The sequence below is a fragment of the Homo sapiens genome, chromosome 14 (assembly GCF_000001405.40).
Source record: "Homo sapiens chromosome 14, GRCh38.p14 Primary Assembly".
Lineage (NCBI taxonomy): Eukaryota > Metazoa > Chordata > Mammalia > Primates > Hominidae > Homo > Homo sapiens.
Window position 1 is genome coordinate 105,207,627 of NC_000014.9, and position 24,900 is coordinate 105,232,526.

A 24,900-nucleotide genomic window follows, 5' to 3' on the forward strand; every position below is an offset into this window, starting at 1 on the left:
GCGGGGCTGAGAGGCTGGGCTCCCCCTTCCCCGAGGCTGCAGCATGGTCTGGTCCTGGCACTGGGAAGGGCCCAGGCAGAACCTGCCCAAGGTGCTGCTGGACATGCTGGCAGGCCCCGTGCAGCTGCAGCGTCACAGCTGGCCAAGCACTGCTTCAGGCCTGTCAGCGTCCAGGCTGGGAGATGTGGCCCCTAAGCCACCTACGGGACTGAGCAATACAGACCTGAATGCCCAAACCCGCGGTTCAGGCCAGCACCCAAAAGCACCTGGCCACTACGGCTGTCTACTCCCGGGCCGCAGCACCTCCGCACCTCGGCCACCCAAGTGTCTGTGCAGCACAGGTCCCCACGGCTCCAGGACCCGGATGCTGTGTTCCACACCGCACCCTCTCTGGGGAAGAGTCTTTCCGCCACCAGCCCAGAGATGTCCCACCTCCCCTCCAGCCATTGTGGGGCTTGACTCTAGCACACTGGTCACCGCCTGGCCCCGCTTGTGCTCCTCAGCCCCAAACCCCAGCCATCCTCTCCCGCGCCCCAGCCCCCGAGCCCCACCCCACCCTCCCCCTTCTGTGATAACCTCCCCCGCTTCCATCCCCAAAGGGTGGACAGCCACTGCCTCCCGGGCCTCCCTTTCCCCTGGCCCTCACCTCCCACCCACCTCTCCACCCCTCCCTCTCCCTCCAGCCTCAGGCGGGCCGTTCAGCCAATATCCTCAACCACCTGTGGGCCAAGCCGCTCATGCACAGGCAGCCTGGAAACCTTCTTTCCTGGCCTCCCGAGTGGAAGTGCCCAGCCAGAGCTGTCTGTCCTGAAACCCCCTCCAACACCCAACTGGCCCCAAAGCAGGTCTCCCGGGATGAGGATTCCTTCCCTCCTGCGGAGCTGCAGCCCACCTGTGCCTGGGGCCCCACAGCCTGGCAAACAGCACCACCAGAGTCAGACGCTGCCCCCCGCCCTGCACCCCAGCACCCAGGCCGAGGGCTGGATCGCTGCACGGCCTGCCTCGCCTGCGCCCCTCAGCTGCACGTCTGGTCTCCTCCCCAAATAAGATCTGGTGGCAGGTTTCACCCATTTCGCCCCCCAAATCCACCCTCTTCGATCTCCAACAAGACCCCCACTCCATGCCACCTGGCTGTCGTCTCTGGCCCGGCCCCAGTGGCCATCTGCTAGGCCGGGAGCCCCTCCAGCTGGTCCTCAGGGTTCCTCTAAGAGCACCTTCTCCAAGCCCCCCATCCTGCGGTCCCACGGCCCACCTGCACCTCCCTCGGGGCCCCTGGGTGCCAGCTGTGGCCCCCAGGCCCGCCCACCCTGGCCCAGTTGCTGCTTCCTGTTACCCCAGCCTCAGTGAAGCCCCTGTGGGCTGGTCCTGCCGTTTCACTTTCTTCACAGCACTCACCTCCCGGTGCCCACACTGCGCTGGGGGCCCAAGCGGGGACTTGTCCACCCGGTCCCCTGTGGCACACCCATGTCCAGCCCAGGCTGATGCACACCCACTCAACAGCTGCTGCAGTAGTTGGGGGGACCTAAAGACCCCACACCCCTCACTCAGGGCAGCCCCTGGGTCTCAGGGGCTAATATCCACAGCCAGGCCGTGCAGCCAGCAGACCGACATGACGGCTGGCCACAGATCGCAACACAGAATCAGACAAGCCTCAGGCAATTTCTGTTAAGTAACAACAGATCTTCCTGCTTTACTAAATCTATTCTTCCCCCAAGCCCTCGAGAAGCCCTGGCAGGACCCAGGCTGGCTACTGAGCTCTGGGCGGGGGTAGGGGGGTCTGGCCTGCTGCGGGCCAAGTTGGGGCAGGACATACAGCCCATTCCATGGGGAGGATGAGGCCCCTGGGGGTCAGTGAGGCACGGCTCTGCCTCAAGGCCACCCCCTCCTAAGGACACAGGGTGAAGCCCCCTCGGCCACATCCGGGGCAGCCATGCCAGAGCTGAGACCTCCTACGAGTGGTACTGGGGCCTTCCCACGAAGAGGCCTGGGGAGGCTCTCGGGCCTCCGTCTGCCCTCCCTCCTCGATGGGGGGCCTGATCCAGCTCTGACAGGGAGCGCCACTGCCCTCTGGCTCTGTCCACGGGGAACTCCCAGCGCCAGGACACTATGCAGGCTATGCCCGCACTGCCTACAGAGCTATGCTCAGGACGGGTGGGCGCCGGTCTCAGCTGTCGGGCACTCAGTTCACCTGCCGGCAGCCGCAGGGCTCCTGGGCCCACAACTCAAGTGGCCCTGGAGCAGGGGTCTGACCCCCATGCTGCTCCAGGCGGTGCAGGCAGCGGGGAGGGGGGTCTGGAGGAGGCAGGGGTGGGGGTGTCTGCCTCGGACGAGGCAGGTATCTGGATGCAGGGCCACAGCTGGAGGCAGAGGACCTTCAAGGAGCTGCTGCCTCTCAAGTGCCAGATCCTCAGCTCCCACGGCTGCGCCGGACACCTGCAGGGCTCTGGCTTCCACTCTGGCAGAGGCTGCTGGCGCCGAGTGCTGCTCAGGAGGGGACGGTGCGGAGGGTGGGCTGGAGACTCCAGAGCTGGTCCTGAGTCACAGGGCCAGCACACTCAGCCCTCCACACACTTGGACCAGCAGTGGGGCTGCCCCAAGCCTGTTTCCTTAATAGTAGCAACACCACACTGCCAGCCTTGGAGGGTCCTTGGATGAGTCGACGGCAGGCAGCGGGACCCAGCCCTGCACACACCCGGCCCACATCTGATCACACACATGCAGACGCTTGGTCCGGTTTCCCTTGCTGAATAGAAACACAATCCCAATGGTAAGTTCCACATGGGACGAGGGCTGTGGGACAGGTGCCACCTGTCACCAGGAGTCTCGGCGCTGGGGCCTGCCTGCTGCGGTCCTGGAAGCCCGTCTGATGCTGAGGAGACCCGCGAGGCCCCCTGCCAGGACATCACCTGCCTGGAGGCCACACTTCAGTAGCCGTCGTCCTCATCGCCATCACAGCCATAGTCTGCAGAAGAGCACAGTCATGAAGCCCAGGGTCTCTGTGGGACCCAGGAGCCCAGACCCCCCAACCCGCCCTGTTCCTGGTGCCCCCCTAGAAGACTCAGGCTCCAGCCCCAGCCCCAGCCCCCCGCGCCCCGCCAGGAGCCATCTTGGGCTCCTCTCCACCTCCCGGGACTGGCATGCACCCAGAGCAGGGCCTTGCTCCTCGTCGAGGGCACCTGAGAGCAGTGTGGGCTCCCTCAGCCTCCCTCCCTGGGTGTGCAGGTCCGTGGTGGTGTGCAGATCCGGGAACCTCGTGCTGCTGGCTGGGCGGCCCTCGTGGTGGGTACCTCACCGTCCCTAGCCTCTCTGACCCTGGCTGCCTCCAACCTCACAATCGACATGACCAATTTACAAAATGTCTTAGTTCAAATTTCTTTCCAGGGAGAAACAGAAATTTAGTTTGAAGCTAACAGGCCCAAGTTCAGGGATCATGAGGGGCAGTAGCTGATGCCTTTATTTCCCTTGAACCCCTCCCTGTTGTCGGGCCCCACCCACCGTTGCTGCCCATCATCTGCAGGGCACTGACGCAGGGCTCCCCGTCCTCCTCGTCAGGCTCCTCCTCGTCAGCCTCCTCGTCGGCGTGGTATGACACGGGCCCGCTCTCCACCAGCACCGCCTGGGGCCTGGCAGGCTCAGCTCCGAGGGTGGGAGAGCTTGGGAGCAAAGCCTGGAACGAAGTGGGGCTCTGACACACACAGAGCTGGGAGCCCTGTGTATCTCAACAGACCCCTCAGACCCACCAGGGCTGGCCCAGGATGCTCAGCCACTCCCGCCACACCAGTGGCTCCCGGGGTTGGCCAGGGCTCCCAGGCCCACTGGCCCCTTCTGGCCTCCTGGGGGCTGTGCCATGAGCTGTGTCAGCATCAAGATCCCACCCTCAGGCCTCTGCCAGCCCCTGCTCCTGTATCCTACTGGGCCCCACCCCAGTGCTCGGGGAGCATGCAGAACACCTTTCCAGACCATAGGCCTCGGCCGAGGACACTGTGGCCTCAGCCCCCGGGGGCTTGGCCTGCCCTGACCCCCAGAACACAGACAGAGGCTCTGCTCCGGCCCCTGCCCCAGCCCCCGCCACCTGCCAGCACCTTCACCCTCGTTTCCTGGGCCAGACCAGTCCCCAACAAGTGACAGTCCAGGTGAAAGACCCCTGAGCCCTGGAGGGCTGGGCCCTGTGACCTGGCAGTGCCTGCTTCCTACATACAGGCTCCCTGCAGGCACCAGGCCCACAGCAAGGCTGCTCAGCCTTGGCCCGAGCGCTGAGCAGCAGGCACACAACGGTCCCCACTTCCTGCCCGCTCCTGCTCCGGCAACCGGGAGCTCCCACCCTCGGGCCTCGATTCTCTGGCCATGCCAGGCAAGTATGGGGCAGCAGGGGCAGGCGCCTCTGTCAGGCCTGCTCTCCCTGTGGTCACAGACCAAGCATCTGGGCCCAGGAAGAAGTGGGCTGCCTCCCAAGGTCTCCCTGCCCTGGCTGCGTGGGACAACACACCTCTCCCGTGGCCACCTTCTTTGCTGGCTGCGTAGACACCAGAGGCCTCAACCTGCAAAAGGAAGCACAGCATGGCGGCCTCAGCCCAGGCTCCCGAACGCCTGCCCACTTGTTCCCTTTTGCCCATCTTCCCTTTCCCAGTGTTAATTGACTGTTTCTCTGTCCCTTTGGAAGCCTGGTTCTGCGTCCAGGTTCTGTGTGCTCCATCAGTGCTCACTGCACATCAACACAGAGCTCTGACCCGTTCACATTCTCAACAGCGAGCAGCACTCGACACAAACACAGAAGCTGCAGACGCCCCGCTCCCCAGCCCACTCCCCTTCCAACAGTGCCTGAGCCCTCAAGGAGCTGCCTGGTGCCCTACCTCACTCAGGGAGGAGGGGAGGGAGGGTGAAGGGACACTGTCAGACCCGAGAGTGCTTCCCCAACCCTCACCAGGCCCAGGGCAATCCCTACATCTGCTGACAACACCCTGCACAGGGCCTGCTCGCCGGCCCGCCACACACAAAGGCCAAAGGTGCCTTCCACATGCCAAGTCTTCTTGGAGACTGCTGGTCCCCCCAGGGAGACAGGGGGGCCCAGGGGAGAGGACGCAGGCATTACCCACAACCTCCAGCACGGACACACAGGGCTGTCGGGCGGGCAATGAGAGGGCTCAGGGCCTGTGGGGAAGGACGCAGCGGGGCAGAGCCCTTCCCTCCAGGGCACAGCTGTGTGGGGAGGCGGTAGGGGGCCTGAGGCAGGGCCCTGCCTGGCTCTGACGTGTCAGATGAACCCTCGGGACACTGGGAAGGGACCCCATGACAGGTGGACCTTAGCAGAACATCTAGACGTGGAGCTCTGCTCGGGGTGAAGCTGATAGCAGGTGTGAGCCAGGCTGAGGCCCCGGGCTCCCCATGTGGTCCCTCTCCAGACTGGAGACAGTCTGGACACCAGGGCTCCTGGTGGTGCTGTATCCTCAGGCCAGGCCTCCAGCCTGCTTCCTGGAGCCTGACAGCTGCTGCTCCGCCCTCCCCACTCCCATCCCCAGGCCCACTGTGCAGTGGAGTGGGGGCCTCTGGGGATGGCAGCTGGCCCTGCAGCGGGGCTTCTCAGCAGGCTGACCTCAATGAGACACCCCACTGTGGTCTCTCCAGAAGTGGCTGGCGCTCCAGGAGGCAGGCCTGGCAGTTGGGTGGGAGGCCTGATCTTGGCCGGTGGGACTAAGTCCCCAGGAGATTCATGCTCTGGAAGGTGAGGCCAGCAGGCCCCCATTGAGAAGGGCCCTGAGACCCCGCTGGCTCAAGGAGAGGTAGTTTTTTTCTTTTTTTTTTTTCTGAGACGGAATCTTGCTCTGTCGCCAGGCTAGAGTGCAGTGACGCGATCTCGGCCCACTGCAACCTCTGGAAGAGGCAGTTTCTTTGACTTTGGCAGACTGTACCTTAGCTAGAGAGGAGCAGATGCTGGCGGGCAGGAATACGGGGCTACAGGGAGAGCGGTGCTGTTAGGAGGGTGCGCTTCCTGCAGGGACACACCCTCCCTCCCCCACCTGGCACTGAGGACAGGCTGAAATTCAAGCCACAAGGTCCTGCTGCACTGACCCAAGGTCCTGACAGACAAGTCCAGCTTTTCCAGAACCAGGAAGCAGCTGTGCCAGGCCTCACCCTGGGGGGCCAGAAAGCTCCCTACTCCTGCAGAACCCGGCTGGAGAGAGGGTGCGTAGTGTTCATGAGTGCAGAACCGCAAGGGCTCCTGGGGTCTGCGGGCTAGCTGGGGGCCTGTCTCAAGGGCTTCCCCCTCTTCCACGCAGTATCCTGTGTGAACCTGAGGCAGCCAGGCCACACGGGAGGGCCTGAGAGCGCCTGGAGAACAAGCTCCCACCTGGCATCACCTCGGCCATGGCTTTGGCCTGTACGGGGGTCCCCAGCCAGGGGCCTGAGGATGTGGGGCGCTGCGGCCCATTGTTCACGCAAACCCACTGTTGGGCTCAGGCTGCTCCCTCTCGCAGCCGCGCCAGCACCTGCTGACCCCGCTTGGCTGAAGCTCGGCCCCAGCCCAGCCTGGGGGGATCCTGGGGCCTGTAAGCAGGCAAGAGGGCAGCTCATCTGGTGGGCCCCCACTTTGTCCCCCTTCCAGATATGGGCGCTGGGGCCCACAGCCCACACTGGCCCCTCTGCCTGTCCCCAGAGTGGGACGCTCAGGCATGAGGACAGACTGATCTGCATGGGCTAGAGGAAGACCCCGAGGGTCAAAGCAGCCCGAGTGACCACAGAGTGAGGAGGAGACAAGCTCGGAGGGAGCGGCTGCCCACATCCCTGTGTGGCTCAGCTGCCCACACCCATGCATGGCCCACCCCTGCGTGGCTCAGCTGCCCACACCCCTGCGTGGCTCAGCTGCCCACACCCCTGCATGGCTCAGCTGCCCACACCCCTGCGTGGCTCAGCTGCCCACACCCCTGAGTGGCCCAGCTCAGGTTCTGCAGTTGTCTGTCATCAGGGGAAGCATGCATCATGACGCAGGACCAGGGGCAGGTGGCCAGAGGGAGATGGGCTAGGCAGCCACCGGCAGCCAAAGAGAAAGGGGGTGCAGCTCAGGCTGGTTCCCCCACAGCAAGGAGGGACTGCCATGCCTGGGCCACCCAAGGCAGCACAGCTGCTGCTGAGGAACGCTGTGGTCGCTGGGCTGAGGCAGTGCCTCCTCAGCTGAACCCCTCCTTGATGGTCCCTCCCCACCACCCCTCCCCACGTCGGAGCCTCAGCCTCTTTCCAAGTGGTCCAAATCCCTTTTTCCTCACCCGAGTGTGGGTGAAAAGCTGCCCCCATGGGCTGCAAGGGCAACCGGGACAAGCCCTTCTGTCCCCAGGTAGACCCCCTCTCCCCTGCCCCGCTGGAACTGCCTGAGCTGCCCAGGCCTGAGTGGGGGTGGGAGTGTGGGGGGTCCCCAGCCCTGAGGTCTTCATGCTTCCGTCTTAGAACACTAAATATTCCCGAATCAGATCATGGCCATGTTGGGGGGAAGACTGATGGGTTTCTAAAGCAGGAAGCAGTGCACGAACACGCAGATGTGTGTGCACACAGACTCACAGATGCACACACACTGCACACAGTTGAGAGACTTAAGACACACACACACGCCCCACGCACACAGAGAAACACAGTGTATACAGACACATGCATGCACACACGTGTACATAGAGACAAAGACCTGCACACCACAATCTGTAGACATACAGGTACACATGTTGCATGCACACACACTGCATGCACAGAGAGACACATAGGCGTGCACACCTGCATTTGCACACAAAAACTTACACACATGCACACACACTATGTGCAGTCACAGATACAGGCACACACTGTGTGCAGACACCAGAACACATGCACACACACACGTACTGAGTGCACCAACGCACACACGTACTGTGTGCATACGCACTGCATGCACAGACACAGGCACACACACATGCACACATACACTGCAGGCACACAGACACAGGCGCACACACACTGCATACACAGAAACAGGCACACACACACTGCATACACAGACACAGGCACACACACACTGCATACACAGGCACACACACACATGCACACAAATACTGCATGCACACAGGCACACACACACATGCACACACACACACTGCATACACAGACACAGGCACATACACATGCACACACACTGCACACACACACATGCACACACACTGCATACACAGGCACACACACATGCACACACACTGCATACACAGACACAGGCACACACACACATGCACACACACGCTGCAGGCATACAGACACAGGCACACACACACTGCATACGCAGACAGGCACACACACACTGCATACACAGACACAGGCACACACACACATGCACACACACTGCATACACAGGCGCACACACACATGCACACACACGCTGCAGGCATACAGACACAGGCACACACACTGCGTACACAGACACAGGCACACACACACACATGCACACAAATACTGCATGCGCACAGACACAGGCACACACTGCATGCACACAGATACAGGCATACACGCACTGCATGTACATGTATACACACACAGAGAGACACACATGCACACCCGGGCCCTGTCTGGGCCAGCTGGTCAGATGTGACAGAGGGGGCTGTGAACCCTGTCACCAGGCACCAGAATCACCCAACTGGGACAGGACCCCCACCTCCAGCGCTGACAGAGGCTGGCTAGGCAGGCAGAGGACACGGAGACTAAAGCCTCAGATCGGACCTGGGAGTGCTCAGGCACAGGGGAACCGAGCCACAGACCTGCCCTGACTTCACCTCTGCCCCACTGACCTCCTACGCATGCCAGGAGCTGTGCTAGGAATGCACCCCCAGAGGACCAGTGCATGGCTGATGTGGAGGAGACAGCCCATGCGGCCCTCCTGAGGGGCTGAGACGCCGGCTGAGAAGCACCAGCCTGCCAGGAGGTCAGGCTCCCTCACAGAGTAGCACCTGGGCACCCCAGGGGAGGGGCAGGGGCAGGGCCACAGCACAGCCAACTCTCGCGGGGTGCAGTGGCCAGCCTAGCAGCTCAAAAGGCCAAGGAGAAACCACCGCAAATACCGCAAACAACAGGAGGCCCTGACGGGGCTGCCGAGAGTCAGCACTGCCCCACAGGCGGAAGCAGCTGGAGACAACGCAAGAGATCCCAAGAAGCAGTAGGACCAGCAGACACACCCAGCCCGGAGACTCGGTGGGGTGGAGTGAAGGTCGGAACCACCAAAGGGTGGACCCAGAAGCTAAGCCGCCAACCCCATCTCCACTGCCAGAGGGACACATGGACCAGCCACAGGCCCCCAAGACGCAGCAGGTGAGCCCAGCTGCCCATGGCCTCGTCAGGAGAGCCTGCAGCCGCCACCCAGCGGCAAGCTGTGCACAGAGGCCGACCCACTCCAAGGCGGCCCTGCATGGAGCTGCAGAGCCTCGTGACCCTGTGCGCTGAGGCCAGCACATCCCGCCTTTGACGTCCCTCAGCCACGTTCTCCACCCACATCCTCCTTCCTCAGCAGTGTGCTGCTCTCACCCATCACCTCAGCAGAGACGGCAATGCAGCCAGGGTGCGCAGAGCAGGCACAGGGCGGCAGGGCTGGGGACTCTTCTTCCCGAACCCAGGCTGGAGAAGGCACCGACCCCACGGATTGTCCCAGCCCCTCCTTGGGACAAAACAGAGCCTAGGCTGCAGGACCCCCCTGACAGCTGGACCCGCCCGTCCGCTCACAGCCTGCCAGGCCAAGGAGAGTTGAGACACTGTCAAGGTGCCGGAGAAGGCCCACCAGTCCCCAGCATGCAGGTGGCAAATGCCACTCCAGGCACTTCTGTGGCCCCGGCTGGCCCCCGGCAGCTCCAGGACCCGAAGCCATGGGCCTCTGCCCGCCCTGGGCTGCTGCCCTAACCCAGCCACTCAGGACAGGATGGTACCTTTTCCCCACACTGGTCACAGGGTCAGCCCCACTTCTGCTGGCCGGCGTCCTCCTTCGTGACAGCTTCCTGGCACTGGCGCTATGCTCGGGCTGTGCATCCTCCCTGTGCGGACTGCCCCCGCCGGCGCTGCTGAGGCCCCGGAGCACGCTATAATTGATCTTGCTGGAGATCTTCTTCTGCTCCAGCATCTTCTCGATGGCCTCCCTGGCGGTACTGGCCTGAATTGGCTCCCGTCGCTTGCAAGACTTCTTGGGCTTGAGGGAAACAAGCAAGAATGCCTCCCGTGAGTCACGCCCACTGCACTCCACCATCAGGGGCTCCACGTGAGGCCAGGAGTGCAGGCGGGTGAGGCCTGGCTCAGGCCCTCAGAAGGGCCGCTCCTGCCTCCTCCCCCCAGAATGTGGGCCAGCCTGGTGCTCTCTGGGCCTGCCCACGTCAAATCCTGCCCTCCCAGGTGAGTGGGGCACGTGGCCTGGCATGGGTGCTGGCAGGGCCTCCAGACAGCAACAGCAGCAAACATGCCACAGGTGCTCAGGGCCCTGCTGCCCCTGGGTCCCACACAGGGCAGGGCCACATGCACACGGCAGGGCGATGTGCTGCTGCACTGTGAGGGCTGCAGCAGAGATGGCTACTCAGTGAAGACAGACAATCCACCCCAGCACCGCTGCCCACGTCAAAGGCCCCAGCTGCCCGAAGACCCTGGATCTCCTTCTAGGAGCTGGAGCCATAGACCACTTCAGGGCAATCAGCCTGCACCACCCCTGCTGCCCCCCGCTGCACGATGACCTTCCTGCGTGGCCCAGCAAGGCCTGGGACGTGCTGCTGGGTGGGGTGGAGTCCCTGGGCTCCTAACTCTCTGACCACAAGCTCCCCGGGTCCTGCTGAGCGGGTAGGCCCCACATCTGCCATCCCAGCCACCTCCAGCTTCGTCTGAGGGACCCCAGTCTCGCAGGCAGGGAACTGGCTCCCCGTGTTTTCTCCTGCTCAGTCACTCAGAGGCTCAACCACTGCTGCCTGCACCACGAGGCTGAAGGCACATTCCGCCAGAGAGTAAGCTGGCAGAGCAAGTCACCGTGACGGCCACAAGGCAGGGAGGCATGACAGTCGGACTTTCCCAGGGCGTCAGAAGAGCAAACCCGTTAACACAGGCAGGGACCCCAGCGTCCAGCCCCGAGTCTCGACAGTCTGCCCCGGTGCTGCATCCAGAAGGTTACCCCAAAGCTGAGCACACGCCCTCCAAGGTGAGGCCGACGGCTGGGCGCCTGTGGCCAGCACGGGGCAGGACCTAGTGGTTAAGGACGTGGGTCTGGGGTCCAGAGCACATGGCCTCCGGCTGCCTGCCCTGGGGCCTAGACCCTCCTGTCACATGGGGAAGGGACATTCCAGAGACATTTGCCCCCCGTAACCTGGACACCCCCAAGAAGGCCAGGCCCAGCGTCACAGGCGCCCACCTTGTGTTCCTTGTAGATGCCGAGCTCCTTCTCTTTCGCTATTCTTGCTTCTTTTTCTAAAAGTTCAGAAAGGGGGCCAGCGTCACTGAGGGCCCACGCCCCAGGCCTGGGGACTGTGCGTCCTGCGTGTGAGTGTGGGCGGGTGGCGCTTACCCCTCTGTTCCCGCAGGTACTCGGCGTTCTCCCTCATCCACAGCTCGGCCTTCACGCGGGCTTCCGACTCATTCAGGATGTACTGGGCGAGCACAGGGAAGTGGGGCTGGCTTTTAGCCTTCGCACACCGGGGCATGCTAAGGTCGCGCTGGCCAGCGGGAAGTATTTCCACCGTTAGAGGAAGGGGAACCCGGGGCAGCCTCTATTTAGTGCGGAGCCTGGGCTGAGGCCTCATCGCGCGGGGCGAGTTGGGGACCTGTTGCTCTGTGGCCTGTCCCAAGGCCAACCACGCAGGCCACATGTGTGAGACCCCCTAGGGCAGCTTGCAAGCCCTGCCGGCACCAGGACCCTGGCCAGCCAGAGTGCAGGCCACAGGTTCCCACAAAGGGGCCAAGTGAGGGTGAGAGCCTCCCACTCAGGTACAGATGGGCCAGGCTGGAGGGGTCTGAGGCACCACGTGGCCATGAAATCAGGGAAGACGACTTCCTGCCTGACAGAGGGCAAGTATATTGAGATAAACTGCAAAGAGCTGGTCCCAATGGCTGGAAGCCCTGGGGTTTGGGGGCGCACAGCGCATGTGGAGTCAGTGGGTGCCCTCTTGTGTCTAGAGACCCCTCGAGGGGCTGCCCCTGGTGCTATTTGTGCGATGTGTGCCTGCTGCAGGCTATGTGCCGAGGGCCGCAAGGACCAGGCGCAAAGCCAGGGGCCTCTCGACAGGCCGCCCCCGAGCCGACACTGGAGAAGAGAGTGTGGGGGGGGGTCCCGGGAACAGTGGCCAGAAGGCCAGGAGCCCACTTCACCCAGCGGGGTGGGCTCTGGGCAGGGGAGGTGGCCAACCCCGCCCGACCACTCAGGGCTCCTTGGGCTGCAGCGCCCTCCCAAGCCCAGCCCCTCTTGGGAAGGGGTGCTGCCACGTACCCTGTCAATCTCCAGGTCATCAATGCCACTGAGGTCCAGCTCACCGTCTCCTGAAGCATCTTCTGGAGGGAAGCACAGCATCCGCGTCACTCAGGGCCAGCACTGATTATAGGAGCGTGGCCACCACCTGGGCTGGCTCAGGACCCTGGGTCTGGGCTAAGGGCTTTCTAGAACCCCGTCCCCTCCTCTGCACTGGTGGGTCGCGCCCTGTCTGCCCACATGACCGCACCTCTTTAAATGCCTAGCTCAGGACACTAAGCGAAGCCAGCAGAACACTGAACTGAAGCTGCAAAGGAAAACCCCAGCACTTCTGTGCTTTTTGTAAAAAAGCAACTTTTTAAGAACAGGAGACAGAGGCTGTCAGGCCCCAAAGACCGAGGGAGGGCACGGAAGCTGGGCAGGAAGGAAAGGTCAGGCCACGGAGTGAGATGGGGGTCTGTGCTCAGGGGAGCCAGCTCCCCATCACTGAGCCCATAGGTCTGGGGATAGAAATGAGGGAATAGAAATGATTCCGGAGTCCAGGCCTGAGGGAGCCCTCCATGATCATGCTCAGGACACCCCAAAACCTGCCTGTCACCCCTGCCCAGCCCCACGCAGTCCAGGCAGCATCTGCACAGCCTGGAATTGGGACAGCCTCTCCTTGCCACAGCCCCACGCCATAGCTGCCTGCCCCGTGCTGCCAAGTCAACTCCAGCACAGGGCCAGACTGTCTGAGGTGCTCTCCTGCCATGCTGCTCCAGGGCCGAGGCCAGAGACGGCTCCTCTCAGCACTCACAGGCAGCCCTTCCTCAGCTCCAGCCAGAATGGCCCTTTCTGCTCAGGGTCACTGTGCCGCTGGCTGCCCCAGGGCCTGTGCATGTCCCCTCTGCCTGTTGCTCTGTGTGACTCGCCTGGGTTCCACCCACACAGCAGCCCCAACCATCAGGATTGTCTCTACCCCGGCCCAGATATCACTTGATAAACATTCGCCTGGCTCCTCACACAGAGGCCAGGCCCTGGTGCCCGACGGGAGGCAGGGCTTGAGGGTGAAGCGTTGCAGGAAGGTCTAGGCTCTCAGCCAGGGAAGCCTGTCCTGGCAGGGATGGGGGATGGGACCCACCTTTCTCCTAGAGCTCCCAGCCAAATGGGCAAGGTGAGGGGGGGCAAGATGGGCACGGTGGCCTGGCCTGGGCACTATGGGGCAGGGGTGCCTCGTCATTGCCACGCCCAAGCTCAGCAAGTGACGTTCCCCCGACCATGTTGGACAAGCGGATGAGGGGTGGAGCTGCCCCATGGGACTCCTGGACACAACTTGTGGGCTCCATTCTCCGTGGCCCCTGTGACCTGAAGGCGGTCCCAGTGAGGGTGACGAGACTCACTGCATTCTGGCGTCGGCACACACCCAATTCTTCACGCCAGGACCACTGACGCCCACACAGCCCCATTGGGGGGACTGGTGGTGCCACCACCCAAGCCCACCGCCCGAGACCACCACACCTCCCGACAGAGGATGGCAGCATCCGGCTCTCCCCATGAGAGGCACACGCCTGAAAGATCTCCCGATGACCTCAGCGTCCCCCAGGGCCCCATCAGAACTCACTGGGGTCGCTGCTCTGAGAGGAGATGCATTCGCGGATGGAGTCTGAGATGCCCAGGCTGGCTGCAGTGGGGAGGGGGTCCAGCAGGGACCCCAGGGCCGGAGGTCTGCCGCCCCACTCGGGGCTTCCTGCTGCTTCCGAGCTGCCGGGGGCACCACCAAGGAGCTCCCGGTATAAGTCTTTGTTCAGGTGGCTGGCCGCGGCTTCCAGCTCCTCGTCCTCTGTGTCCTCCTCGCCACACAAGCTGGACGCGGTGTCCTCGGTGGAGCCTAGGTGTACACAATCCACCTGTTAACCAGGCAGAGGGCCAGGGTGCCCGCTTTTGTGACAAAAAACAATGCTACCAAGCTGCCAGGTAACCCATAGAACGGCTGTCAGTGCACGGTGCCTGGCGGTCAGGTGCCAAAGAACGAGCCTCAGCCCACACCTCGCACTGCACGCGGAAGTTAGCTCAAAGCAGATCACAGACCTAGGGGGAGAGTTAAAGTACAGACATTTCAGACAAAAACGTAAAAGAAAAACTTTGTGACCTTGGATAAGGCAAACATTTCTAATGGTTCTAAAAGCAGAATCCATAAAACACTGATAAAACGGATTTCCAAAAAATTAAGAACTGCCCTTTGAAAGACATCGTTAAGACAATGAAGACAGCCCACAGGCTTATCTGCAAATCTCGTAACTGATAAAGGACTTAAATCTAGAACAGATGAAGAATTCCCAAAACTTCACAAGAAAACACAACCCAATTAAAAAATGGAAAAAGATCTGAACACTCCGGCGAAGACGACATATTGGTGTAAATGAACATATACAAAGACCTCCAGTCCTGAAGGAAATGCAAATGAAACCACCCCAAGCTCCTCCTTCACAACCATCAGAATGTCTAGCCCTGAAAAGAAAACCAGGCCGCACTTCCCAGACAGGGGGAACACGCTCCCTTGCACTTCCACGCATGGTGCTAACCCTTTGGAGACAACCTGATCAGTTCTTTTTTTTTTTTTGAGACGGAGTCTCGCTCTGTCGCCCAGGCTGGAGTGCAGTGACGCGATCTCGGCTCACTGCAAGCTCCGCCTCCCGGGTTCACGCCATTCTCCTGCCTCAGCCTCCTGAGTAGCTGGGACTACAGGCGCCCGCCACCACACCCGGCTAATTTTTTGTATTTTTAGAAGAGACGGGGTTTCACTGTGTTAGCCAGGATGGTCTTGATCTCCTGACCTTGTGATCTGCCCACCTCAGCCTCCCAAAGTGCTGGGATTACAGGCGTGAGGCTCTGCGCCTGGCTGACAACCTGATCATTTCTTAAAGACAGGCAGTTCGTGGCCGCCCACTTGGGCTCAGGAGTTCCAGACCAGCCTGGGCAACACAGCAAGATCCTGTCTCTATGAAGAAATGTAAAAATTATCTGGGTGTGGTGGTGCCCGCCTGCAGTCCCAGCTACTTGGGAGGCTGAGATGGGAGGGTTGCTTGAGCCCAGGAGGTTGACACTGCAGTGAGCTATGATGGAACTATTGCACTCCACTCTGGGTGACAGAGTAAGACCGTCTCAAAAACAACAAAAAAAGACATACACACTTGCCTTTCACATAACCCAGCAATTTCACTCCTCAGCAATTGACCCAAAAGGAAATCAACGTCCACACAAGGACTTGTACACGAGTGTTCACGAGCGCATCTGAAACAGCCTCAAACGTGCAATGTCCTCTAACAGATGAATGGCTACACACCCTCAGCGTGCTGAAGGACTACCGACTGCCACACAATACAAACGAACAAACCATTGATGCGTGACTCAACACACACCCTCAGCGTGCTGAAGGACTACCGACTGCCACGCCACAACACAAATGAGCAAACCATTGATGCGTGACTCAACATAATTACACTGTGAAAAAAGCCGAAGGGAAAAACATATACTATGTGATCCTACTCCTACGGAATTCTACAGAATACAACTAATTTATCGTGAAAAAAGTAGCTCACTGGTGGCCTGGGGCAGGAGGGGGGGTGGTGACCAAGGGCCTGTGGACCCCGTGGGAGCCACAGATCTGTGGGTCTTCTTGGTTGTCACTATGGCTTCACAGGTGTGTGCAGACATCAAAGTTCAGAAATCAAAGGGCACATTTTAAATATGAGCAGTTTTCATACGGCAATCACACCTCAATAAGGCTGTTAAAAATCACCCAATGGTAAATTTAAAAGACTGAGAAAAGAACTTTCACGGGAGGAATGTGACTCCTCCTCCTTGAGCTACGTGTTCATTTCTTGAAACCACTTGCTGTTGCCACAAGTAGCTCTAAACTAACCCAATAATGCCGCACCCAATAGTTTAACGATGTACAGCCAATCACGAATGAACGTTACTATTGTAAGCCAATGAGAATTCCCAACAGACAACTTTGTATCTATCCAATCACTGTCCCTTTTTGCCTTTAAAAATCCATCTGTAGCTGAGGCTGGCTCACTCCTGTAATCCCGCACTTTGGCGGGCCAAGGTGGACAGATCACTTGAGGTCAGGAGTTCGAGATCAGCCTGGCCAACGTGGCGAAACCCCGTTTCTACAAAAAATACAAAAATTAGCTGGGCGTGGTGGCGCATGCCTGTAGTCCCAACTACTCAGGAGGGTGAGGCAGGAGAATTGCTTCAAACTACAGGGTAGAGGTTGTGGTGAGCTGAGATTATGCAACTGCACTCCAGCCTGGGTGACAGAGTGAGCCTGTCTCCAAAAAAAGAAAAAGTCCATGTGTAACTGCTGCTCACCAGAGTGTATATTCAAGGCAATGGGATATGTCCACCCTGGCTGCAATCCTCAAGCTTGACCCAAATAAATTATGTAGATTACTTTTGCCTCTGCTTCTTCCTTTAAGGTTGGCAAAACTCATCTTAAAACATCCCACTCTGGATTTTGTGTGTGTGTATACTGGGGACAGGGTCTGGCTCTGCTGCCCAGGCTGGAATACAGTGGTGCAATCATAGCTCACTGCACATCGAACTCCTGGGTTCAAGTGATCCTCCGGCCTCAGCCTCCCGAGGAGCTGGGACTACAGGTGCACACTCCCATGCCCAGCTAATTTTTTTATTTTTTGTAGAGATGGGGTCTCACTATGCTGACCAGGCTGGTCTTGAACTCTGCTCAAGCAGTCCTCCTGTATTTGCCTCCCAAAGTGCTGCGATTACAGGCATGAACCACCATGCTTGACCCACTCCCTAGTCTTAGACTGCTTTCTTCTGAATGTGTTCCAATACAAGATTCCTGGCTAGCACTGAGTCCCGGAGGGGTCCCCATGGTGAGGAATGGCTCCTTGGGGGAAAGCACCTGATCCCCAGAGAGCAGCTGTCAGTGGACGATGACCTCTGGACAGAGCAGCCTCTCAGAAGCCCCTCCCCGGGCAAGTGGGCCCAGGCCGCAGGTGCCAGGAGCCTTGGGGGCTCCGGCTGCCACATTCCCGGGACATGCACATTCCCTGGACTGTTGGCTCTGCCCCAAAAGTACTTCCAGAGTTCGACCAGGCTGGGCCAGGTCTCTCACCCTGGGTTCCTGCAACAGCCTCCCTACCTCCTGCCTCTGTTCTCAGGCCCTCCCGTGGCTCCTACTAACCCCCAAGTGAAAATACACAGTACAGAATACAAATCAAAAACAAGATTCTAAGCCCCACAACCAACCAAATGGATCCCTTCTCTTGGCCAAGGAGATTTCAAAGAAACCTGAAAAGCTAGTTCAGACCATGATGGGAAGTGGGGGCGGGGTCAGACACGCCTCATTATACCCGCTTATACCCCCTCCCTTTGGAGTTCAGGCACAGCTCATCAGCATTAACATCAAAACACAGATCTGATGATTGACCAGACTTTGTAGCAACAGATACCAAATTCCAACCTGACTCTAGTACAACATCAATGACAGGTAGCAGGCCCTGAAAGAAATAAAAATATTTTACCCCAAAATATCTTTGACATATTTTGAAATGGCCCCGCAAAGCTGTCTTTTGTAGGGGAAACTTACATTCTTTTTTTTTTTGTTTGAGACGGAGTCTCGCTCTGTCACCCAGGCTGGAGTGCCGTGGTGCGATCTTGGCTCACTGCTACCTCCACTTCCCAGGTTCAAATGATTATCCTGCCTCAGCCTCCCATGGAGCTGGGACTACAGGTGCGCACCACCACGCCCAGCTAATTTTTGCATTTGTAGTAGAGACAGGGTTTCACCATGTTGGCCAGGATGGTCTCCATCTCCTGACCTCGTGATCCGCCTGCCTCAGCCTCCTAAAGTGCTGGGATTACAGGCGTGAGCCACCCTGCCCGGTGGTAAACTTACATTCTGTAGATAATCCCCTTCCCTTTCCAGGTCTTTTTCTGATCCTGAAGAGATCTGCTGAGACTCTAGCACATTTTAAAGGTCTGAATAGGGGCCGGGCACAGTGGACTCACCATCTTTTGCCAGGCTGGCCAGGCCCCCCTTGGCCTTTGGCCGGCTGTTTTCTAGTTCAATCTCAATTGCATCCTGGTAACTGGATATTTCACCTGAAGTCATAAGTTAAAAGCAAAAAGTCAGCATAAAATCAATTTTCCCAACAAAACAGAAGCATTACATGGGAAGATTGGTTGGTTACCTTCAACCTCCTCCAGTTTTTTTGACAGGACTTGTTCAAGCTGAAAGGGAACAGGGCAAGAGGCTTCGTGAAGGGAGGCCCTGGTGCACAGCGCAGCCTCTGGGGTGCCGCGTGGGCCCCAGGGACCACAGGCTGCTAGAACTTAGGGGTACGCAGCGATGGAGGTGGAGCTATGGGCCTGTGTCCCCCATGGGAAGAGGTGGCACTTCCCAGAGTCTGTGTGAGGGGCATCCCGGAGCCTCGGGCTCTGGCTGGTCATAGCACTGAAGAGCGGCTATGAGGCTTTGGGATGGCACCAGCTCTGCTACAACCCCAGTCGGGGTGTGTGGCTTCCCCCCAAGGCTGGCAAGCCCAGCACAGACAGACACCAAAGCCGGCGCTACCTGCTTCATCCGCAGCTTCCTCTGCCCAGCTGTGTACGAGGGGGGGTCGCACTCCTCCTCCAGGTCGATCTTCATGAACTCATCAATGGTCAACTGACTGGTGGGGGTGTCTTCAAATTCCGTGAGCCTAAAATGGAGCCAGACATGGGAAATGGAGCTGGTGGCTCTGAAACCAGCTGTTTAAAACTGAGCTTTCGCCTGGGCGTGGCTCATGCCTGTGATCCCAGTGCTTTGGGAGCCCAAGGTGGGTGGATTGCTTGAGTCCAAGACTTTGAGACCAGCCTAGGCAACACAGTGAGACTCTGTCTCTACCCAAAAAAAAAAAAAAAAATTAGCCACGCATGGTGGTACACACCTGTAGTTTCTGCTACTTGGGAGGCTGAGGTCAGGGAGAATCGCTTGAGCCCAGGAGGTTGAGGCTGTAACGAGCTGTGATAGCGCCACTGGCCTCCAGCCTGGGCAGCAGAGTGAGATTTTGTCTCAAAAAATACATAAAAAATAAAAGGCCAGGTGCTGTGGCTCATGCCTGTAATCCCAGCATGTGGGAGGCCGAAGTGGTAGGATCACCTGAGGTCAGGAGTTTGAGACCAGCCAGGCCAACACGGTGAAACCCCATCTCTATTAAAAATAACAAAAATTAGCTGGGCATGGTGGTGGGAGCCTGTAATCTCGGCTACTCGGGAGGCTGAGGCCGGAGAATCGCTTGAATCCAGGAGGCGGAGCTTGCAGTGAGCCAAGATCGTGCCACTGTACTCCAGCCTGGGCGGCAAGAGCGAAAATCTGTGTCAAAAAAATGAATAAATAACAATAAAAACAAATACCTGAACTGTGCTTGTCGGATGTTCCTCCACGGGGCCTGGCACTCAGGCCTTGCCCCTCGGCGCCCAGGTCCCTTCTGGCGGCTTCTCCACCCCTACCCGATCCTGCCCGGACCTCTGCTCACTAGGAGAAAGGCCCACAGGCACCCTCATCCCTCACAAGAGAACCCCAATCCTAGGCGGAAGACTCAGAAGGCCTGAAGAGAGGAGGCTGGGCTAGAACCTCAGCACCTGGCAGTCGGGCAGGAAGGGGCCCTGCAGGCCTGTGAGCCATGGGGCTCAGTTCTTACGAACGCCTCTACACGCTACACAACCTTCAAACACGTTTCATCAAAGATTTTTTTTACAGAATCAATGGTCAGATGTTTAAAGTGAAATACTTTACAGCTGGTTTTGGAAAATGCCACAGGACACAATCTCAGCTGAAAAACAGCAGTCCTGTGTTTAAGATTTGTGATAAATGTCACAGCAGTTACAGGTGGCAGCAACTCCACTGTCACATTTACCTTGTCAAAGTCTATGAAACAGGGCTGCGGTGCAGGCGAGCTGTGAGGAACCCCGACAAATACCACCCAGCAAAGCCGGGGTGCAAAGCCCCACCCCTGCCTGCCTGGCTTGCTACGCCACTCATTTCACTGATGCGGGGACCTCTTATGGCACTCCGGCTTCTCACTGGGACAGGGGTCACCTGGGCTCTCAAAGTCCAGGACGGGCCACAGCAAAAAGGAGACGGACCAGGCTTCTGACGTCAAAGACAGCCTCATGCCTGTTTGTGACTTAGGGCAACTTTACACATCACCCTCCGCCTCAACTTAGAAACACGGGGCGCGGTGGCTCATGCCTGTAATCCCAGCACTTTGGGAGGCCAAGACGGGCAGATCACGAGGTCAGGAGTTCAAGACCAGCATGACCAACATGGTGAGACCCCATCTCTACTAAAAAATTAGCCAGGCGTGGTGGCACACGCCTGTAATCCCAGCTACTCAGGAGGCTGAGGCAGGAGAATCTCTTGGACCCGGGAGGCAGAGGTTACAGTGAGCCGAGATCACGCTATTGCACTCCAGCCTAAGCGACAGAGCAAGGCTGTTCCTCAAAAAAAAAAAAAAAATACAGGGATCGGAGGAGGAGGATGCCTCCGCAGGATAGGGCCGGCCCCAGAAGGACTAGCAGGGAACTCTCTGGAGGGAGGCGAGGCAGCCCACCAGCACGTCCAAGCCATAGTGTGACCGGGGCTGGGCTAGGTCCTGGCCAGCAGCCAGGCGGGGGACGGCAGGGTCCCGGGAGGTGGCGCCTGCTCTGGCAAGCAGGCCTGAGCTGGACTGATGAAGCCTCTGTGTGGTCCCCATGCCATGAATGAGAGCCCCTCACCTCTTCCGCAGCGTGGACTCACACACTTTGACCACACTGATGACCTCCTTCACAGTCCTCCTGAAGTCATGCATTCTGGCTGCAACCAGGAGCGCTGGAAGGCAACGAGACGGGCCTCGTCAACCACGGCTGGGAACCAGGGCAACATCTGTGGCGGCCCAGGACAACACTGCGGATCCCGGTCACGGAGATGATGGCCTGAGAAGACGTGTCTGTGCCAGGCAGTGAGACCCTCACTTGGCATGGCTACTCCTGAACGACATGACCCTCTCTATCTTATTGTGGGTGGCGGCTGCACCCATTCCATTTTCAAATCAAGGAAAATTAAAATGAAGGCTTCCGAGAGCTTCACGTAATCCCTCAAAGCAAACAAACTAACTCTAAGATGACTGTGCGGGAAACACAGCTTGTGATGGGAGCTGGGGACTCTGAGGATGCGGAGCCAGGCTGGGCAGGAAAGGGGCGAGGCCACAGCTGGCAGCTGACACAGGTTCACCAAGGCCACAGTGGGCCCAGAACCTCCAGTGCAAACATGGAGATCATGTGTGCAGATGGAACGGCTTCTCAGGTGGACTGAATCCTGCAGCGCAGGGATGCCGGTACCTGGCCTGCCGGGTAGAGTGGACTCTGTGGGCACGAGGGTAAGGGCCCGGATGAGGAGTGAGGGCCCTGCCGACCTGGGGCTCCAATTCCGGAGCTGGGGTAGTTGACCAGGCCACGGCCACATCCACCCACCAGCACCAAGGGCAAAGTGAGAGTCTGAGTGACAGCTGCGACCTGGGGGGTCACAGAGGTCCAACTAGAACAGTCGCCCAGCTGGGGGCGGGGGACAGCCTGGCAGCCCCGTGGCACCCTCAGGAGCAACAACCTAGCATCTCAGGAGAGAGAGGCCACACCACTGTCCGCGTAGTCGCCCAGCTGGGGGCGGGGGACAGCCTGGCAGCCCTGTGGCACCCTCAGGAGCAACAACCTAGCATCTCAGGAGAGAGAGGCCACACCACTGTCCGCGTAGTCGCCCAGCTGGGGGCGGGGGACAGCCTGGCAGCCCCGTGGCACCCTCAGGAGCAACAACCTAGCATCTCAGGAGAGAGAGGCCACACCACTGTCCGCGTAGTCGCCCAGCTGGGGGCGGGGGACAGCCTGGCAGCCCCGTGGCACCCTCAGGAGCAACAACCTAGCATCTCAGGAGAGAGAGGCCACACCACTGTCCGCGTAGTCGCCCAGCTGGGGGCGGGGGACAGCCTGGCAGCCCCGTGGCACCCTCAGGAGCAACAACCTAGCATCTCAGGAGAGAGAGGCCACACCACTGTCCGCGTAGTCGCCCAGCTGGGGGCGGGGGACAGCCTGGCAGCCCTGTGGCACCCTCAGGAGCAACAACCTAGCATCTCAGGAGAGAGAGGCCACACCACTGTCCGCGTAGTCGCCCAGCTGGGGGCGGGGGACAGCCTGGCAGCCCTGTGGCACCCTCAGGAGCAACAACCTAGCATCTCAGGAGAGAGAGGCCACACCACTGTCCGCGTAGTCGCCCAGCTGGGGGCGGGGGACAGCCTGGCAGCCCCGTGGCACCCTCAGGAGCAACAACCTAGCATCTCAGGAGAGAGAGGCCACACCACTGTCCGCGTAGTCGCCCAGCTGGGGGCGGGGGACAGCCTGGCAGCCCCGTGGCACCCTCAGGAGCAACAACCTAGCATCTCAGGAGAGAGAGGCCACACCACTGTCCGCGTAGTCGCCCAGCTGGGGGCGGGGGACAGCCTGGCAGCCCCGTGGCACCCTCAGGAGCAACAACCTAGCATCTCAGGAGAGAGAGGCCACACCACTGTCCGCGTAGTCGCCCAGCTGGGGGCGGGGGACAGCCTGGCAGCCCCGTGGCACCCTCAGGAGCAACAACCTAGCATCTCAGGAGAGAGAGGCCACACCACTGTCCGCGTAGTCGCCCAGCTGGGGGCGGGGGACAGCCTGGCAGCCCCGTGGCACCCTCAGGAGCAACAACCTAGCATCTCAGGAGAGAGAGGCCACACCACTGTCCGTGTAGTCGCCCAGCTGGGGGCGGGGGACAGCCTGGCAGCCCCGTGGCACCCTCAGGAGCAACAACCTAGCATCTCAGGAGAGAGAGGCCACACCACTGTCCGCGTAGTCGCCCAGCTGGGGGCGGGGGACAGCCTGGCAGCCCCGTGGCACCCTCAGGAGCAACAACCTAGCATCTCAGGAGAGAGAGGCCACACCACTGTCCGCGTAGTCGCCCAGCTGGGGGCGGGGGACAGCCTGGCAGCCCCGTGGCACCCTCAGGAGCAACAACCTAGCATCTCAGGAGAGAGAGGCCACACCACTGTCCGCGTAGTCGCCCAGCTGGGGGCGGGGGACAGCCTGGCAGCCCCGTGGCACCCTCAGGAGCAACAACCTAGCATCTCAGGAGAGAGAGGCCACACCACTGTCCGCGTAGTCGCCCAGCTGGGGGCGGGGGACAGCCTGGCAGCCCCGTGGCACCCTCAGGAGCAACAACCTAGCATCTCAGGAGAGAGAGGCCACACCACTGTCCGCGTAGTCGCCCAGCTGGGGGCGGGGGACAGCCTGGCAGCCCCGTGGCACCCTCAGGAGCAACAACCTAGCATCTCAGGAGAGAGAGGCCACACCACTGTCCGCGTAGTCGCCCAGCTGGGGGCGGGGGACAGCCTGGCAGCCCCGTGGCACCCTCAGGAGCAACAACCTAGCATCTCAGGAGAGAGAGGCCACACCACTGTCCGCGTAGTCGCCCAGCTGGGGGCGGGGGACAGCCTGGCAGCCCTGTGGCACCCTCAGGAGCAACAACCTAGCATCTCAGGAGAGAGAGGCCACACCACTGTCCGCGTAGTCGCCCAGCTGGGGGCGGGGGACAGCCTGGCAGCCCCGTGGCACCCTCAGGAGCAACAACCTAGCATCTCAGGAGAGAGAGGCCACACCACTGTCCGCGTAGTCGCCCAGCTGGGGGCGGGGGACAGCCTGGCAGCCCCGTGGCACCCTCAGGAGCAACAACCTAGCATCTCAGGAGAGAGAGGCCACACCACTGTCCGCGTAGTCGCCCAGCTGGGGGCGGGGGACAGCCTGGCAGCCCCGTGGCACCCTCAGGAGCAACAACCTAGCATCTCAGGAGAGAGAGGCCACACCACTGTCCGCGTAGTCGCCCAGCTGGGGGCGGGGGACAGCCTGACAGCCCTGTGGCACCCTCAGGAGCAACAACCTAGCATCTCAGGAGAGAGAGGCCACACCACTATCCGCGTAGTCGCCCAGCTGGGGGCGGGGGACAGCCTGGCAGCCCTGTGGCACCCTCAGGAGCAACAACCTAGCATCTCAGGAGAGAGAGGCCACACCACTGTCCGCGTAGTCGCCCAGCTGGGGGCGGGGGACAGCCTGGCAGCCCTGTGGCACCCTCAGGAGCAACAACCTAGCATCTCAGGAGAGAGAGGCCACACCACTGTCCGCGTAGTCGCCCAGCTGGGGGCGGGGGACAGCCTGGCAGCCCTGTGGCACCCTCAGGAGCAACAACCTAGCATCTCAGGAGAGAGAGGCCACACCACTGTCCGCGTAGTCGCCCAGCTGGGGGCGGGGGACAGCCTGACAGCCCCGTGGCACCCTCAGGAGCAACAACCTAGCATCTCAGGAGAGAGAGGCCACACCACTGTCCGCGTAGTCGCCCAGCTGGGGGCGGGGGACAGCCTGGCAGCCCTGTGGCA

General features: G+C 60.2%; 1 protein-coding gene across 20 annotated transcripts in view; it reads right to left on the reverse strand.

The window, feature by feature from the left end:
- The window catches only part of BRF1 (BRF1 general transcription factor IIIB subunit), a 106,304-nt gene continuing 83,063 nt past the window's right edge, over nucleotides 1,660–24,900 (reverse strand). For 12 of the 20 annotated variants that reach the window (NM_001440451.1, NM_001242787.2, NM_001242788.2 and 9 more), the window contains 12 exons: nucleotides 21,194–21,287; nucleotides 19,008–19,134; nucleotides 18,625–18,664; nucleotides 18,443–18,535; nucleotides 14,022–14,288; nucleotides 12,443–12,504; nucleotides 11,525–11,606; nucleotides 11,372–11,427; nucleotides 9,918–10,174; nucleotides 4,487–4,538; nucleotides 3,496–3,667; nucleotides 1,660–2,962 (listed from right to left, as the gene is read on the reverse strand). In NM_001440451.1, the coding sequence (NP_001427380.1) occupies nucleotides 2,925–2,962; nucleotides 3,496–3,667; nucleotides 4,487–4,538; nucleotides 9,918–10,174; nucleotides 11,372–11,427; nucleotides 11,525–11,606; nucleotides 12,443–12,504; nucleotides 14,022–14,288; nucleotides 18,443–18,535; nucleotides 18,625–18,664; nucleotides 19,008–19,134; nucleotides 21,194–21,287 (1,340 nt within the window). In that variant the 3' untranslated portion in view covers nucleotides 1,660–2,924. The other 8 variants (XM_047431305.1, XM_047431302.1, NM_001440449.1 and 5 more) reach the window with 4 other exon arrangements.